The sequence below is a fragment of the Homo sapiens genome, chromosome Y (genome assembly GCF_000001405.40).
Source record: "Homo sapiens chromosome Y, GRCh38.p14 Primary Assembly".
Lineage (NCBI taxonomy): Eukaryota > Metazoa > Chordata > Mammalia > Primates > Hominidae > Homo > Homo sapiens.
The window spans coordinates 16,416,063-16,434,917 of NC_000024.10; positions in this window are offsets into that span (position 1 = coordinate 16,416,063).

Genomic DNA, 18,855 nt, shown 5'->3' on the forward strand with positions numbered 1-18,855 from the left:
GGGCAAAGAATGCCCATCCAGTTAAAATCAGGCTAAAAGACCCCACCTCTTTTCTTTATCAAAGTCAATATCCCTTAAGGCCTGAAGCTCACAAAGGATTACAAGATATTTTTAGACAGTTAAAAGCTCAAGGCTTAGTAAGAAAATGTAAGCAGTCATTGCAACACCCCAATCCTAGGAATACAAAAACCAAATGGTCAGTGGAGACTAGTGCAAGACCTCAGAATCATCAATGAAGAAGTAATTACTTTATATCCAGCTGTACCCAACCCCTATACACGGCTCTCTCAGATACCAGAAAAAGCAGAATGGTTCGCTGTTCTGGACCTCAAAGATGCCTTCTTCTGCACTCTGACTCCCAGTTCCTCTTTGCCTTTGAGGATTATACAGAGCACATGTCCCAGCTTATGTGGACAGTCTTACCCCAAGGGTTTAGAGATAGCCCTCATCTGTTTGGGCAGGCACTGGCCCGGGACCTAGGCCTATTCTCCAGTCCAGGCACTCTGTTCCTTCAATACATGGATGACATACTTCTGGCTATGAGTTTGGAAGCCACATGTTAGCAGGCTACTCTAGACCTCTTAAACTTTCTAGCTAATCAAGGGCACAAAACATCTAGGACAAAGGCCCAGCTCTGTCTACAACAAGTTAAGTGTCTAGGCCTAATCCTGGCCAAATGAACTGGAGTCCTCAGCAAAGAGTGTATTTATCTTATACTGGCCTACCCTCACCCTAAGACGTTGAAAAAGTTGAGGGGGGGTTCCTTGGAATCACTGACTTTTGCCAACTGTGAATTCCTGGATAGAGTGAAATGGCCAGGCCACTCTATCCCCTGATAAAGGAAAATCAGAAGGCAAATACCCACCTAGTAGAATGGGAACTGGAGGTGGAAACAGCCTTCAAAACTTTAAAGCAGACCCTGGTACAAGCTCCAGCCCTGAGCATCCCCCAGGACAAAATTTATCTTTATATGTCACTGAAAGAGTAGGAATAGCTCTTGGAGTTCTTACTCAGACTCCTGGTACAGCCCCACAGCCAGTGGCATACCTAAGTAAAGAAATTGATGTAGTAGTCAAAGGCTGGCCTCACTGTTTATCGGTGGTTGCAGCAGTAGCCATCTTAGTGTCAGAGGCTGTTAAAATAATACAAGGAAAGGATCTCACTTTCTGGAACACTCATGATGTAAGTGGTATATTAAATGCTAAAGGAAGTCTGTGGCTGTCAGATAGTGGACTACTTAAATACCAGGCGCCACTCCTTGAGTACCAGTATTTCAAATATGCATGTGTGTGGCCCTCAATCCTGCCACTTTTCTCCCAGAGGGTGAGGAACCAATTGAGTATGACTGCCAACAAATTTTAGCTCATACTTTTGCCACCCGAAAAGATCTCTTAGAAGTCCCCTTAACTAACCCTGACCTTAATCTGTACTCTGATGGAAGTTCATTTGTAGAAAATTGGGTACAAAAGGCAGGCTATGCCATAGTTAGTGATACAGCAGTACTTGAAAATAAACTTCTTCCTCTAGGGACCAGTGCTCAGTTAGCAGAATTCATTGTGCTAATCTGAGCCTTAGAACTGGGAGAAGAAGAAAGCATAAATGTATACACAGATAGCAAGTATGCTTTTCTAGTCTTACATGCACATGCTGCAATATGGAAAGAAAGAGAGTTCTTAACCTCCGGAGGAACACCTATTAAATACCACAGATAAATCATGGAATTAATGCACACAGTGCAAAAACCTAAAGAGGTGGCAGTTTTACACTGCTGGGGCCATCAGAAAGGTGAAGGAGAAGAAGCAGAAGGAAAGTACCAAACAGAGTCTGAGGCCAAAATTGCTGCCAGGCAGGAGTTTCCTTCAGAAATGCCCAAGGAAGGACACCTGGTATGGAGAAACCTCCCTCCAGGAGGTTAAGCCCCAGTACTCTCCAACTGAAATAGAATGGGGACTTTCACAAGGACATAGTTTTCTCCCGTCGGGGTGGCTAATAACATAGGAAGGAAAGGTGCTCATACCTGAAGCCAGCCACTGGAAAATACTTAAAACCTTTCACCAAACTTTTCATACTGTTATTGAAAGTACCCATAACATGACCACGTCTCTATTTACAGGGCCAAACCTCCTCAAAACCATCAGGCAAGTAGTCAAAGCCTGTGAAATGTGCCAAAAGAACAACCCCTTGGCCCACTGTAAGGCCTCTCCAGGAGGACAAAGAACAGGACATTATCCCAGAGAGGACTGGCAGTTAGATTTTACCCATATGCCAAACCCAAGAGAATTTCAATACTTATTGGTCTGGGTTGATACCTTTACAAATTGAGTAGAAGCCTTCCCTTGTAGAATAGAGAAGGTCCAAGAAGTGGTTAAAGTCTTAGTTCATGAAATAATTCCTAGATTTGGACTTCCCATAGCTTATAGAGTGACAATTGTCCAGCTTTTAAAGCTACAACAACTTAAGGAATTTCCAAGGCACTAGGAATACAATATCAACTTCACTGTGCCTGGAGGGCACAATCCTCAAGGAAAGTTGAAAAGGCAAATGAAACTCTCAAGAGGCATTTGAGAAAACTAGAGCAAGAAACTCATCTTGCTCGGCCCACTCTGTTGCCCATGGACTTATTAAGAATCTGAAACTCCCCTCACAGAATGGGGCTCAGTCCATATGAAGTGTTGTATGGATGGCTTTTCTCACAGATGACCTCCTGCTCAATCAGGAAAAGGCCAATTTAGTAAAAGATATAACTTCTCTGGCAAAATATCAACAAAATCTTAAAACTTTACCTGAAAAGTGTGACAGGGAAAAAGGAATAGAGATGTTTCAACCAGGAGATCTAGTATTGGTCAAGTCTCTCCCCTCTAGCTCTCCTTCTATGGATCCCTAATGGGAGGAACCATACTTGGTAATCCTCTCTACCCCCACTGCAGTTAAAGTGACGGGAATGGAATCCTGGATTCACCACACCCAAATTAAGCCTTGGACACCTCCTGAGAAACTTACAGAATCATCAACTCAGGAGTCACAAGTCAGCCAGACCAGCTTCGATACACCTGGCCACCACAAGAGGACCTGCATCTCCTATTTTGGAAAGGAACACTTCAGACCAGAAAAAATCCTGCAGTTAATCCTGAAGAGGGACTTCTCCTTACCTAAATGAGGATCAGTGGGGAAAAAAAAAAAAAAAAAAACCAACATGATCTTTAACTTCTCTCCTTGCTCTCTTTAATGGAAGACTTCTACTGTTTTGTTACATTATTAAGCACGTTTCTTCTATCTGCCTTCCTTGTAACAGCAATTCACTCCTTTTTCCCTCCTCTTTCCTGTGACCATTTCACTTACAACACTTCATGATTCCTCTTAGGCTTCCTGTCATCCTCTTCATACTCGTGTCCCTTTCTCCAACAACAACACACACCCCGTGTCAGTGTGCCTCCCCTGGAGGAGACAACTGGCATTCTATCAGAAACTCTTGCAGATTGGGTAGCCCCTTCCAAACACCCACATCTTTTGCCACTCATACTTACATGAGAAAAGAATGTTATAAAACTGTTCCTTGGAGCCTGTTTAACACCACCCTTACAAGAATACAAGAGACCTCTCCTAATAATCCAACCAACTATTGGATGTGTCTCCCCTTGTGTTTCCAACCATATGTCCCAGTCCCTGTCCCCAGATAGTGGAACTTATCCACCCCAGTCCTAAACACCACCAAATTAATCGGTCCCATAGTCACCAATTTACCAGCCACAGAGGCCTCAAATCTCACATGCATGAACTTCAGCATGACTCTCAATAAAAACACCCCCCAATGTCATTCCTGGATGTCAGTAATGTCAGGTTTCACCTGTCTAACTTCAGGCATCTTTTTCATCTATAATAACACAGCCTGTTGATGCCTAAATAGCACTCCAAAAGAATTATGCTTTCTCTTCTTTATAGCAACTCCCATCTCCATATGCACTGAACAAGAGTTACAAAGTCTCCTTATAACACAATCTTGCCACATATGAGCCCTTATTGTCTCTTTTATTGTAGGAGCCAGAATAATAGGTGGGCTCCTATTGGAATTGGAGGCATAACCTCCTCCACTCAATTCTATTATAAATTATCACGAAAATTAAATGATGACATGGAACAAATTTCCAACACCCTAGTGACCCTACAAAGCCAGCTTACTTCTCTAGCTGCAGTGGTCCTCCAAAACCAAAGATCCCTGGACCTATTAACAGCTAAAAGAAGAGGAACCTTCATCTTCTTGGGAGAAGAAGGTTGCTGTTTCATTAACCAGTCAGCAATCATTACTGAAAAGTTTAAATAAATAAGAGAACGGAAAAAAGTAGGAAAAAGGAGCTTGATCACTCTGAACCCTGAAATATGTTTAACCAATGGATACCTTGGCTACTCCCCTTTCTAGGTCCTGTGACACCCATCCTATTTTTACTCACCTTTAGGCCTTGCATTTTTAACCTCTGTGTCAAATTTGTTTCCTCCAGGATCGAGGCCATCATGCTACAAATGGTCGTACAAATGGAACCTCAAATCAGCTCAAATCACAGCTTCTACTGAGGACACCTGGATTGACACATTGGAACCTTGACTGGCCTAGAAAGTTCCCCTCTGAAGAACACCACAACTACAGGGTCCCTTCTTTGCCCCTAACAAGCAGGAAGTAGCCAGAACGACCGCCACCCAGTTCTCAAGAGCAGTTGGAGGGTCCTGTTTAGAGGGGGGACTGAAAGGAGGGGCCGGCTGGGCTTCCTGGATTCAGTAGGGGCCCAGAAAGCTGGGAAACTCACTGATTTCCTGCATCAGGAATTACCTCAATCCTGGATGAATGATACCGAAGATATAGGCTTAAACTATTCCTAACACCAGGATTTGTTCATGTGTTTTCTCCCCCAAGAAAGCTATAAACAGGAACAATTTTGCTGTAAGTTTTCCTGTGTCTTCTCTCCCTCTCCGCCTTCCCCTCCCACAAAACTAAAGTAAAAGGAATGTTAGCTGTCCATTTTTCTGTGATCAGCAGACCTTATCTATGCTCCCAATTCCAATTCCTTGTAAACATGCTTTGTAAAGTTCTGTGATATTCTGTCTCCTTTGCCATACTGCAGCAAGGTCCTAAAGTAGACAAATCCTAAGTTACAATTCCAGTTTTCCTCAAGATCTAAAACATGCCACAAATTGTTAACTGTCTTTGTTTCTTGCTTTGGTAACATTTTCCCGCCACAGGTATTTCCCACCTTAAAGAAATTAGAAGGCATTTCTATAATCTAACTCTGGCTACCTGTTCAGGATCCCTTCCACGCTGTGGAATCTTTGTACTTTCACTCTGCTCAATAAAGCCTACAGCTTTTTCTATCGGTCTGTGTCTCTATCACTGGCTGCAGTCAGCTGTCACACTAATTCTTTGGTGTGGCTAGGCAAGAAACATAGAAGTTACAATATTACCACTATATTTATTATTGTGTGTCCATGCATCTTTAATGTTAAACTCTTGAGGGAAGATACTAGTGTATCTTCTAGTCATGAATCCTAGCACAGCACAACGGCCAGTGACCTAGTGTTTTTACCGGAAACACTTTGGAGAACCTCATATATATATGAGTATATATACATGGCTGTACCATCTAAGATTGTGTAAGTACACTCTAGGATGTTCACACAAAGACTAAATAATATGTAATATGTAAATATAATAGATACTAGAATATATATAATAGGCATATTATATATAAAAACATATACATGTAATACATATAATATATAAATTTCTAATATAGAAATATATGTGTATATTTATTTCTAATATAAACTTGTACTATAATAGAAATATACCTTAAACATGTAATATATGTATATTTATATATATAAATTTTACATATAGTAAATATAAAATATACAAACATACAGTACATAAATATTTACATATATGTAATATATAACTTACATAAAAATAAAATACAACTTACATATAAATAAAATATGTAATATTTATATTACACATCATATTTGTACAATTCTATTTATTATTTACTTTTAAAACATAAAAATATATGTATATTTCTATAATATAAAAGCATTATATTTATAAATATAAACATACAATACAGTTCATACGTATTATATAATATCATACACAATATTATCTATATGTGGATATATATTACATTCTCTCACAAGGAGTATAAAGAACACTATATCATATATATATATATATACACACACACATATATACATATACACACACACATATACATATACACACACACACACACCTGCATATATAGACCTATTCTGAATTTACCACTACCTCATTAGTTATGGGAAAAAGGGGAGCTTATGGTTACACTCTGGCAAATAGGTTACAAACCTTGTGTTTCTGCTATAACTCTCTAGAAAGACAAGCAAGATACAGAGATACAGAGATCTCAGGGGTTGTTGCTACTGTTTATAGGGTGTCACACACAGCCACTTGGATAATGTAAAACTTGATGTGACTCCCACCTATTAAAGGCCATGTTTTTATTAATGTACTCTAAGCTAGGACTAATGATGGCCCATGATAGAAGACGAATCATATACGCAGAGAAGCATGTTGGATCCCATGTGCAAAGGGATGCTGACTCCTGTGAGAGAGACCCAGAGAAAAGCTGCCTTGGTTTCTGCACATTGCCAGATCCCATTTCAGTTACATTTGTTTTTTCTATATGCCTATGCCTATGTGTATGTATAAAGAGTCATGTGTTACTTAATGACAATACTTCTGAGAAATGTGTCCTTGTTTGATTTAGTTCTCGTGCGAACATCCTAGAGTGTACTTATGCAGTCTTAGATGGTACAGCCTACTACACACTTAGGCTATATGGTAGAGCCTATTGCTCCTAGGCCACAAACCTGTACAGCACAATACCATGCTAAACACCACAGACAACTGCAACACAGTGGCAAGTACTTGTTCATCTAAACACTGAAAACGTACAGTAAGAATGCAGCATCAAAAATATAAAATGGTAGCCCTGTATAGGGCAGTTACCGTGAATGGAGCTTGCAAGACTGGAGGTTGCTCTGGGTGAGTCTGTGAGTGGGTGATGAGGGGATATGAAGACCTGCGACATTATTGCACACTTTTATTTAACTGGCAACATGCCTCTACACTAGCATGGACACAATCACATGAGTAATGCTTTTGTGCTACAACCCTAGGAAGCCTAGGACAGCACATTATAATAGGAATATCTGAGGTCCATTATAATCTCATGGAATTCTTATCATATATGTAGTCTGTCATTGACTAAAATGTCATTATGTAGCATATGACTGTACATACAAGTGTGTATGTGAATATGCCTATACATCCATGTATATGTGTTTTAGAAGTTTCCCATGCCTGCCATTGAAATAACTACAAACTGGGTGGCTTAAAACAATAAGAATTTCTGGCCAGGTGCATTGGTTTATGCCTGTAATCCCAGCACTTTGGGAGGCCGAGGTGGGCAGACCACCTAAGGTCAGGACTTCATGAGTAGTGTGGCCAACATGGTGAAACCCTTTCTCTATTAAAATTACAAAAATTCCCCAGGCCTGGTGGCTCATGCTTGTAATCCCCACTACTTAGGAAATGTAATCTCTCCTGCTGCTGGCAGTTTAAAAATCAAAGTGAGGCAGTGCGTCTCTCCCTCCACAGGCTCCAAGGGAGGACCTTTCCTGCCTTTCCCAGCTCCTGGTTGATTCAGGAATCCCTTGGCTTGTTACCACATCATTCGAACATAGCTTCCATCTTCAGATCTTCCATATGTCTCTTTATCCAATTCTTCCTCTCCTTCTGTTACAAAGATACCAGCTGTCAGATTTAGGTTCTGCCATAATCCAGTATTGCTTCATCTTATGTCAATTATATCTGCAAAAATTATATAGATATAGATTCATATATATCTCATATGTTATAAATTAATCACAAACATAGGTGTCGAAGAAAGAAAATAATTCCAGAAATAATGCTGCTGTAGTTTATAGCAATAAAAATATGAGTTTAGAGAACAGAATGCATACAGGCTGGAAGAAGAAATGACTCTCCAACAGAAGGCACTCATGGTGGCAAGGGGCTTCCAATCTATTCCCCACCACAGTGATTTCATCTCCAACAGAGTTGATCCTGTTAAGCCAGAGAAGCTTAGGGTTTTATCGTTTCTTAACTTCCATAATATTTATGTCTAACTCCCCCCAAAAAATGATAAAGGGAGTATTTTATCCCACAGAAATACAAACTACCATCAGAGAATACTATAAACACCTATATGCAACTGAACTAGAAAATCCAGAAGAAATGGATAAATTCCTGGACACCTACACCCTCCAAATACTAAATGAGGAAGAATTCGAATCCCTGAATGTAACAATAACAACTTCTGAAATTGAGGCAGTAACTAATAGCCTACTAACCAAAAAAAGCCCAGGGCTAGAAGGCATCACAGCTGACTTCTTCTAGAGGTATGAAGAGGAGCTGGTATCATTGCTTCTGAAACTATCATTGAGGAGGTGTGTGTTTATTATTTGGAATTACAAATGGTTTTGTTTTGTTTAACTCCAGATTTATTGAATGCAAATAGCAGCAAATTCTATATTATCAGATATGATATTGAAACAGGATAGTTCCCTGACCCTTTCAGGGGTGGGAATTGCAGTGCACAGGTGTCAGCAGGAGCGAACCCCACTCACTTGACCCACTGCGCTCCACCCCTCACCTATGACTCCTGAATCCCCAGAGAAGTGTTACAGTACCTTTTTAGCTTTGCCACCCATGGATGGCTTAAAAGTTAACAGCTCAGTGGAGGGTCAGTGCAACAGCCGTTTGCACTTACACTCTTGGCACCCAAGTCGTCCTGCATCCAGGAGGAAAGACGTCACACAAATGAATTGAAGGAGGTAAATGTGGGGATTTTATTGATGATGAAAGTGGCTCTCAGCGGGAAGAGAGATGAAACAGTGACAGAGAGGGAAAGTAATCTTCCCCTGGGGACAGTTGGACTCCTCACCAAAGCTACACTGTCAAGCTGTCCCTGTGAAGTCAAGCTGCATCTCTCTGATGTCCAACCGTAGTCCCTGAGGTCCTGCTGCATCTCCTCTTCTCCTTTCTCTGCTTGCTGAGCCTGGGGTTTTTTCTGGGCACAGGAGCAGGATAGGGCAGACAATGGGTGGTTTTAGAAAAGGCAACATCTGAGTGGGAAAGCAAGGATGTCAATTCTCACTGTCAGTTTCAGTGTTAGCCTTTTTGGCTTGAGGGTGAGGCCCTTGCCAGGGACCCACCCTCTTCTACCCAGAATTTACCTGCCTCCTGTTCCTATCAATATTTCATATTTAGTCAGTTACTTCATCTTTTTCACATGATGTGAGCATAGTAAGACCAGTGACCAAAATGGGCACATTTATATATCTACCTTTATAGATATTTCAATAGGTTATGTTCACAGTGAGCCACCAACTAGAAAACATCATTGCAACATTGCACTTGTAGGAATTTGGAGATGTCCTAAGTGGTTAACTCTATTGAAAGGGTCACATAAGTGCATAGGATATTTCTGCTCTCTGATGACCTATAGCTATTTAGACAATGTAGATAAATATACAAGCTCAGCCACAACGTGTTCTCAAGATATTTTGTTTGGCAGGAAACTACATTTCAGGGCATTAACTACAATGCATGTAACGGGGTGAAATAGTTGAAATGATGCTGAAAGACAAAAGTTTCTGCTGTGCCAGAAACTTTCTGAGCCGCTATAGTTTAGGGCTGTCTGATTTTGGAATCTTTGATCAATTAAACTCTGTTAAATTTAATATACTGAAAGTTTTTATTTTAACAATAGTATACATATATATATACAGTGTATGTGTATATATGTCTGTTTTTATATATAATGTGTGTATATGTGCATATATATCTAGTTTTATGTATATGATTATACATATATAGAATTCTACATATATATTTATCTGTAAAATGATTCCAAAAATATATAGAAAATACCATATATAAAATTCTGTATGTGTGTGTGTATATATATAATTCTATCTTATATTGTTTTCCTGCCAGCTGTCCCAGGGTTCATTCCTCTCTTTTGATGGGTCAACACATCCTAAGGTTTTTTTCTTGATTATATTCCTTGGGTACCCTGCAAACTCCTCTGGGGGAAACTCCAGCCCTTAGAGCACTGGCTGCTCCTAGCAGTGTGCAGGAGGTGGTGCTAATACTTGGTGTGTTAAACAGACACTACTATGGCTCACAGCCAGTCTCAGGTGGAGATTCTTGTTCAAATTCCAAAATCAGCACTGAAGGGAAACATAAAATAGAAGTAGAAATCTCATCTCTGAAAAACACTGACTCTCTAGGTTAACTCAGGGATCAGGTACTCTTTCTGCTGCCCCTTGTACCATGGAAGGTACATACTATAAAGACAACTTTAAAATATTCTTTTGAACCAAAAATGTAGACTATTTCTCTCTTACATGAATATTTAAACAATTTCAAAATTAGTAAACATATATTCAAATATTGGACTGTTTTTGTGTTATTTCGAGTATAATCTTTTCAGATATGCTCTTTGATTCTCTCTGGGATATAAAAATACAATTTTATTCACAATCTTGTAGAATCACTTAATAATTCCCATAGTCTGCCCATAGTTTCTTTCAGATTTTTCTATTGACTGGATTGTGACACTTACGAATAATGTCCCATTTCTCTCCTTCTTCCCTATATATATAGATAATGTTTGTTTTTCCTTGAGTTACTTAATTAAGATATCCAAAATATGATGAAGAGTGGCTAGTTAACTTATTCTCTATTTTTAAAATGTATTTTGCCATTATCATATCTAAATGAGATATTTTGCTGATATTCTTGATCAGATTTAGGAATGTCTCTTTCATCTCTACTTTGCTAAACATTATTTTAGGCTGGCAGCCAAGATGGCCGAATAGAAACAGCTCCAGTCTACAGCTCCCAGCATGAGCAATGCAGAAGACGTGTGATTTCTGCATTTCCATCTGAGGTACTGGATTCATCTCACTAGGGAGTGCCAGACAGTGGGCGCAGGACAGTGGGTGCAGCACACTGTGCATGAGCCAAAGCAGGGCGAGGCATTGCCTCACTTGGGAAGTGCAAGGGGTCAGGGAGTTCCCTTTCCTAGTCAAAGAAAGGGGTGACAGACGGCACCTGGAAAATTGGGTCACTCCCACCCTAATGCTGTGATTTTCCAATGGGCTTAAAAAACAGCACACCAGGAGATTATATCCCCCACATGGCTTGGAGAGTCCTACGCCCACGGAGTCTAGCTGACTGCTAGCACAGCAGTCTGAGATCAAACTGCAAGTCGGCAGCGAGGCTGGGGAAGGGGAGACCACCATTGCCCAGGCTTGCTTAGGTAAACAAAGCAGCCAGGAAGCTCGAACTGGGTGGAGCCCACCACAGCTCAAGGAGGCCTGCCTGTCTCTGTAGGCTCCACCTCTGGGGGCAGGGCACAGATGAACAAAAAGACAGCAGTAACCTCTGCAGACTTACATGTCCCTGTCTGACAGCTTTGAAGAGAGCAGTGGTTCTCCCAGCATGCAGCTGGAGAACGGGCAGACTGACTCCTCAAGTTGGTCCCTGACCACTGACCCCCAAGCAGCCAAACTGGGAGGCACCACCCAGTAGGGGTAGACTGATACCTCACATGGCCGGGTACTCCTCTGAGACAAAACTTCCAGAGGAACGATCAGACAGCAGCATTCACGGTTCATGAAAGTCCACTGCTCTGTAGCCACCACTGCTGATACCCAGGCAAACAAGGTCTGGAGTGGACCTCTAGCAAACTCCAACAAACCTGCAGCTGAGGGTCCTGTCTGTTAGAAGAAAAGTAACAAACAGAAAGGACATCCACCAAAAACACCTCTGTACATCACCACCATCAAAGACCAAAAGTAGATAAAACCACAAAGATGGGGAAAAAACAGAGCAGAAAAACTGGAAACTCTAAAAACAGAGCACCTCTCCTCCTCCAAAGGAACAGTTCCTCACCAACAACAGAACAAAACTGGATGGCGAATAACTTTGACGAGCTGAGAGAAGGTGGCTTCAGATGATCAAACTACTCCTAGCTACAGGAGGAAATTCAAACCAAAGGTAAAGAAGTTAAAAACTTTGAAAAATATTTAGATGATTGTATAACTAGAATAACCAATACAGAGAAGTGCATAAAGGAGCTGAAGGAGCGGAAAGCCAGTGCTCAAGAACTACATGATGAATGCAGAAGCCTCAGGAGTCGATGTGATCAACTGGAAGAAAGGGTATCAGTGATGGAAGATGAAATGAATGAAATGAAGTGAGAAGGGAAGTTTAGAGAAAAAAGAATAAAAAGAAATGAACAAACCTCCAAGAAATATGGGACTATGTGAAAAGACCAAATCTATATCTGATTGGTGTACCTGAAAGTGATGGGGAGAATGGAACCAAGTTGGAAAACTCTCTGCAAGATATTATCCAGGAGAAATTCCCCAATCTAGCAAGGCAGGCCAACATTCAGATTCAGGAAATACGAGAATGCCACAAAGATAATCCTCGAGAAGAGCAACTCCAAGACACATAATTGTCAGATTCACCAAAGTTGAAATGAAGGAAAAAATGTTAAGGGCAGCCAGAGAGAAAGGTCAGGTTACCCTCAAAGGGAGGCCCATCAGAGTAACAGCGGATCTCTCAGCAGAATTTCATATCCAACCAAACTAAGCTTCATAAGTGAAGGAGAAATAAAATACTTTACAGACAAGCAAATGCTGAGAGATTTTGTCACCACCAGGCCTGCCCTAAAAGAGTTCCTGAAGGAAGCACTAAACATGGAAAGGAAAAAGAAGTACCAGCCAATACAAAATCATGCCAAATTGTAAAGACTATCGAGGCTAGGGATAAACTGCATCAATTAACCAGCAAAATAACCAGTAACATCATAATGACAGGATCAAATTCACAAATAACAATATTAACTTTAAATGTAAATGGACTAAATGATCCAATTAAAAGACACAGACTGGCAAATTGGATAAAGAGTCAAGACCCATCAGTGTGCTGTATTCAGGAAACCCATCTCACGTGCAGAGACACACATAGGCTCAAAATAAAAGGATGGAGGAAGATCTATCAAGCAAATGGAAAACATAAAAAGGCAGGGGTTGCAATCCTAGTCTCTGATAAAACAGAATTTAAGCCAAGAAAGATCAAAAGAGACAAAGAAGCCCATTACATAATGGTAAAGGGATCAATTCAACAAGAAAAGCTAACTATCCTAAATATATATGTACCCAATACAGGAGCACCCAGATTCATAAAGAAAGTCCTGAGTGACCTACAAAGAGACTTAGACTCCCACACAATAATAATGGGAGACTTTAACACCCCACTGTCCACATTATTCAGATCAATGAGACAGAAAGTTGACAAGTATACCCAGGAATTGAACGCAGCTCTGCAGTAAGCGGACCTAATAGACCTCTCCACTAATGGACCTACAGAACTCTCCACCCCAAATCAACAGAATATTGATTTTTATCAGCACCACACCATACCTATTCCAAAATTGACCACAAACTTGGAAGTAAAGCTATCCTCAGCAAATGTAAAAGAACAGAAATTATAACAAACTGTCTCTCAGAACACAGTGCAAACAAACTAGAACTCAGGATTAAGAAACTCACTCAAAATCGCTCAACTACATGGAAACAGAACAACCTGCTCCAGAATGACTACTGGGTACGTAAAAAAATGAAGGCAGAAATAAAGATGTTCTTTGAAACCAATGAGAACAAAGACATAACATACAAGAATCTCTGGGACACATTCAAAGCAGCATGTAGATTGAAATTTATAGCACTAAATGCACACAAGAGAAAGCAGGAAAGATCCAAGATTGACACCATAACATCACAATTAAAAGAACTAGAAAAGCAAGAGCAAACACATTCAAAAGCTAGCAGAAGGCAAGAAATAACTAAAATCCGAGCAGAACTGAAGGAAATAGAGACATAAAAATCCCTTCAAAAAATTAATGAACCCAGGAGCTGGTTCTTTGAAAGGATCAACAAACTTGATAGACCGCTAGCAAGACTAATACAGAAGAAAAGAGAGAGGGATCACATAGATGCAATAAAAAATGATAAAGGGGATATCACCACCAATCCCACAGAAATACAATCTACCATCAGAGAATACTACAAACATCTCTATGCAAATAAACTAGAAAATCTAGAAGAAATGGAAAAATTCCTCAACACATATACCCTCCCAAGTCTAAACCAGGAAGAAGTTGAATATCTGAATAGACCAATAACAGGCTCTGAAATTGTGGCAATAATCAATAGCTTACCAACCAAAAAGAGTCCAGGACCAGATGGATTAACAGCCGAATTCTACAAGAGGTACAAGGAGGAGCTGGTACCATTCCTTCTGAAACTATTCCAATCAATAGAAAAAGAGAGAATCCTCCCTAACTCATTTTATGAGGCCAGCATCATCCTGATACCAAAGCTGGGCAGAGACACAACCAAAAAAGAGAATTTTAGACGAATATCCTTGATGAACATTGATGCAAAAATCCTCAATAAAATACTGGCAAACTGAATCCAGCAGCACATCAAAAAGCTTATCCACAATGATCAAGTGGGCTCCATCTCTGGGATGCAAGGCTGGTTCAATATATGCAAATCAATAAAGGTAATCCAGCGTATAAACAGAACCAAAGACAAAAACCACATGATTATCTCCACAGATGCAGGAAATGCCTTTGACAAAATTCAACAACCCTTCATGCTAAAAACTCTCAATAAATTCTGTATTGATGGGACGTATCTCCAAATAATAAGAGCTATCTATGACAAACCCACAGCCAATATCATACTGAATGGACAAAAACTGGGAGCATTCCCTTTGAAAACTGGCACAAGACAGGGATGCCCTCTCATCATTCCTAGTCAACATAGTTTTGGAAGTTCTGGCAAGGGCAATTTGGCAGGAGAAGGAAATAAAGGGTATTCAATTAGGAAAAGAGGAAGTCAAATTGTCCCTGTTTGCAGATGACATGATTGTATATCTAGAAAACCCCATTGTCTCAGCCCAAAATCTCCTTAAGCTGATAAGCAACTACAGCAAAGTCTCAGGCTACAAAATCAATGTACAAAAATCACAAGCATTCTTATACAACAAAAACAGACAGAGAGCCAAATCATGAGTGAACTCCCATTCACAATTGCTTCAAAGAGAGTAAAATACCTAGGAATCCAACTTACAAGGGACGTGAAGGACCTCTTCAAGGAAAATTACAAACCACTGCTCAGTGAAATAAAAGAGGATACAAAGAAATGGAAGAACATTCCATGCTCACGGGTAGGAAGAATCAATATTGTGAAAATGGCCATACTGCCCAAGGTAATTTATAGATTAAATCCCATCCCCATAAAGCCATCAATGATTTTCTTCACAGAATTGGAAAAAACTAATTTAAAGTTCATATGGAACCAAAAGGAGCCTGCATTGTCAAGTCAATCTTAAGCCAAAAGAACAAAGCTGGAGGCATCACACTACCTGACTTCAAACTACACTACAAGGCTACAGTAACCAAAACAGCACGGTACTGGTACCAAAACAGAGATATAGATCAATGGAACAGAACAGAGCCCTCAGATATAATGCCACATATCTACAACTATCCGATCTTTGACAAACCTGAGAAAAACAAGCAATGGGGAAAGGATTCCCTATTTACTAAATGGTACTGGGAAAACTGGCTAGCCATATGTAGAAAGATGAAACTGGATCCCTTCCTTAAACCTTATACAAAAATTAATTCAAGATGGATTAAAGACTTAAACGTTAGAACTAAAACCATAGAAACCCTAGAAGAAAACCTAGACATTACCCTTCAGTACATAGGCATAGGCAAGGACTTCATGTCTAAAACACCTAAAGCAATGGCAACAAAAGCCAAAATTGACAAATGGGATCTAATTAAACTAAAGAGCTTCTGCACTGCAAAAAAAACTACCATCAGAGTGAACCCACAACCTACAAAATGGGAGAAAATTTTTGCAACCTACTCATCTGACAAAGTGCTAATATCCAGAATCTACAATGAACTCAAATAAATTTACAAGAAAAAAAACAAACAACCCCATCAAAAAGTGGGCAAAGGACATGAACTGACACTTCTCAAAAGAAGACATTGATGCAGCCAAAAAACACAGGAAAAAATGCTCACCATCACTGCCCATCAGAGAAATGCAAATCAATACCATAATGAGATACCATCTCACACCAGTTAGAATGGCAATCATTAAAAAGTCAGGAAACAACAGGTACTGGAGAGGATGTGGAGAAATAGGAACACTTTTACACTGTTGGTGGGACTGTAAACTAGTTCAACCATTGTGGAAGTCAGTGTGGTGATTCCTCAGGGATCTAGAACTAGAAATACCATTTGACCCAGCCATCCCATTACTGATTATATACCCAAAGGACTATAAATCATGCTGCTACAAAGACACATGCACACGTATGTTTATTGTGGCACTATTCACAATAGCAAAGACTTGGAACCAATCCAAATGTCAAGCAACGATAGACTGGATTAAGAAAATGTGGCACATATACATCATGGAATACTATGCAGCCATAAAAAATGATGAGTTTATGTCCTTTGTAGGGACATGGATGAAATTGGAAATCATCATTCTCAGTGAACTATGGGATGGACAAAAAACCAAACACCACATGTTCTCACTCATAGGTGGGAACTGAACAATGAGAACACATGGACACAGGAAGGGGAACATCACACTCTGGGGACTGTTGTGGGGTGGGGGGAGGGGGGAGGGATAGCCTTAGGAGATATACCTAATGCTAAATGATGAGTTAATGGGTGTACACACAAGCATGGCACATGTATACATATGTAACTAACCTGCACATTGTGCACATGTACCCTAAAACTTAAGATATAATAATAATAAAATAAAAAAAACATTATTTTAAACACATCAATGCCTTTTGAATTTTATAATGATTCACACAATATATAAAAATAATATTATATTTTTTCTCTTTTTATTTTAAGTTACATTGATTGCATTTTAAATAAATACTAGTTCAACTGATAGGAATTGCAAACAAAAGAGATTGAGGAATGATGAAAAGCAGGCCAAAACTAGCAGATGTTAACTCCTGAAAGGAGACACACTTGGTGGTTTACACATTTATACTTTGTCATTTAGCTTAAGAGCAACATAAGCTGGTGTGAGATAGACAATTAGAACTCAAAAAAAATCAATGTCATTTTTTTCTAGAGGTACCTCAATGGAATGTCTTGAAACAAAAGATTCATTGGATTAACAACTGTACTCAAGCTCTGGAATAGTGACTGAACTGTCAATTCCTGGTGGGAAATTTCAGGAGATCTCATCAAAACTAGCAGCAGAAGACTGAAACACTGAAGTGCTAGTTTCATTTGCTGCCACCCACAGGAAAGGGATTTTAGGGTTTGAGTCTTGATTAGTCAGAAGGTGCTCTTGTACATGGCACTAACTCCAAAAGTGTGGAGTTAAACTCCTGAAGTCCACACTTTAGGAGTTAATGCCATGTACTGGAGCTTATAGAATTGATCTAAGACTAACTGGAAAACCAAAAAACAAACACACTAACAAAAAATAAATCCAGTCCTTCACAGAACCAAGACTATCAACCAGTCATATAATAAGAATAAACAAAAATTGCTCGAAAGGTCATAAGTACCAAAATTCTCTGCAATACACAAGCCACCATGAAAAAGTAATAACTGTCTATTGCAAATACACAGACAATTATGGCCTGTATTCTAGAGAAAAAGCAGATAAAACAACTGAATCCAAAATATTGCAAATATTGAACTTAGCAATCAATTCCTTTAAAGCCATAACTACACGTATCTTCAAAGATTTAAAGGACAACGTGATCATAAGGAATGAATGACTGGGGAACTCATCAGGGTAAAGAAATATTTTTTTTCCTTTTTAATAATATGTTTAAAGGCATCTTATGATATAAATTGTGTCATTTCATTGTAGAGTCATTAACATGTAGATATTAAGTTTATGGCAACCAGAGTACACATGGAGTTCATTTGGATTATACTAACATTCTTACTCATAAGTGAAGAGGAATAGTAATAATTACATTATTATAAGCTATATTAAATAGGCTGGGTGTGGTGGCTCACATCTGTAATTCTATCACTTTGGGAGGTTGAGCTACCGGATGGATCACTTGAGGTCAGGAGTTTGAGACCAGCCTGGCCAACATGGTGAAACTCCATCTCTTCTAAAAATACAAAAGTTAGCTGGGGCATGGTAATGCATGCCTGTAATCCCAGCTAGTCAGGAGACTGAGGCAGGAGAATCATTTGAACTTGGGAGGCAGGGATTGCAGTGAGCTGAGATTGTACCACTGCACTCTGGCCTGGGTGACAAAGTGAGACTACATTTTGAAAAAACAAATGCAAAAGAAAACATTCCATAGGCTATATTAAATAAAAGATACTTGTTTGCTTTCCTATATCAGCTAGAAAAGTAATTTTAAAAAGAGCTGTAGATAACCATTAGACAAATTACAACATTAAAAATTACTTGCACTCCTTGGGATAAGTTAGAAAGCTATCTACTGAGAAATGGAATTAATGGATCAGAAAAATAGAATCAATGGGCAAATATAAAATGAACAGAAAAATACTATACCTAAGCCTACATGTATCATTAACTACATTGAATATAAATAGATACAATACTCCAATTAAAAGCAGAAATTGGCAT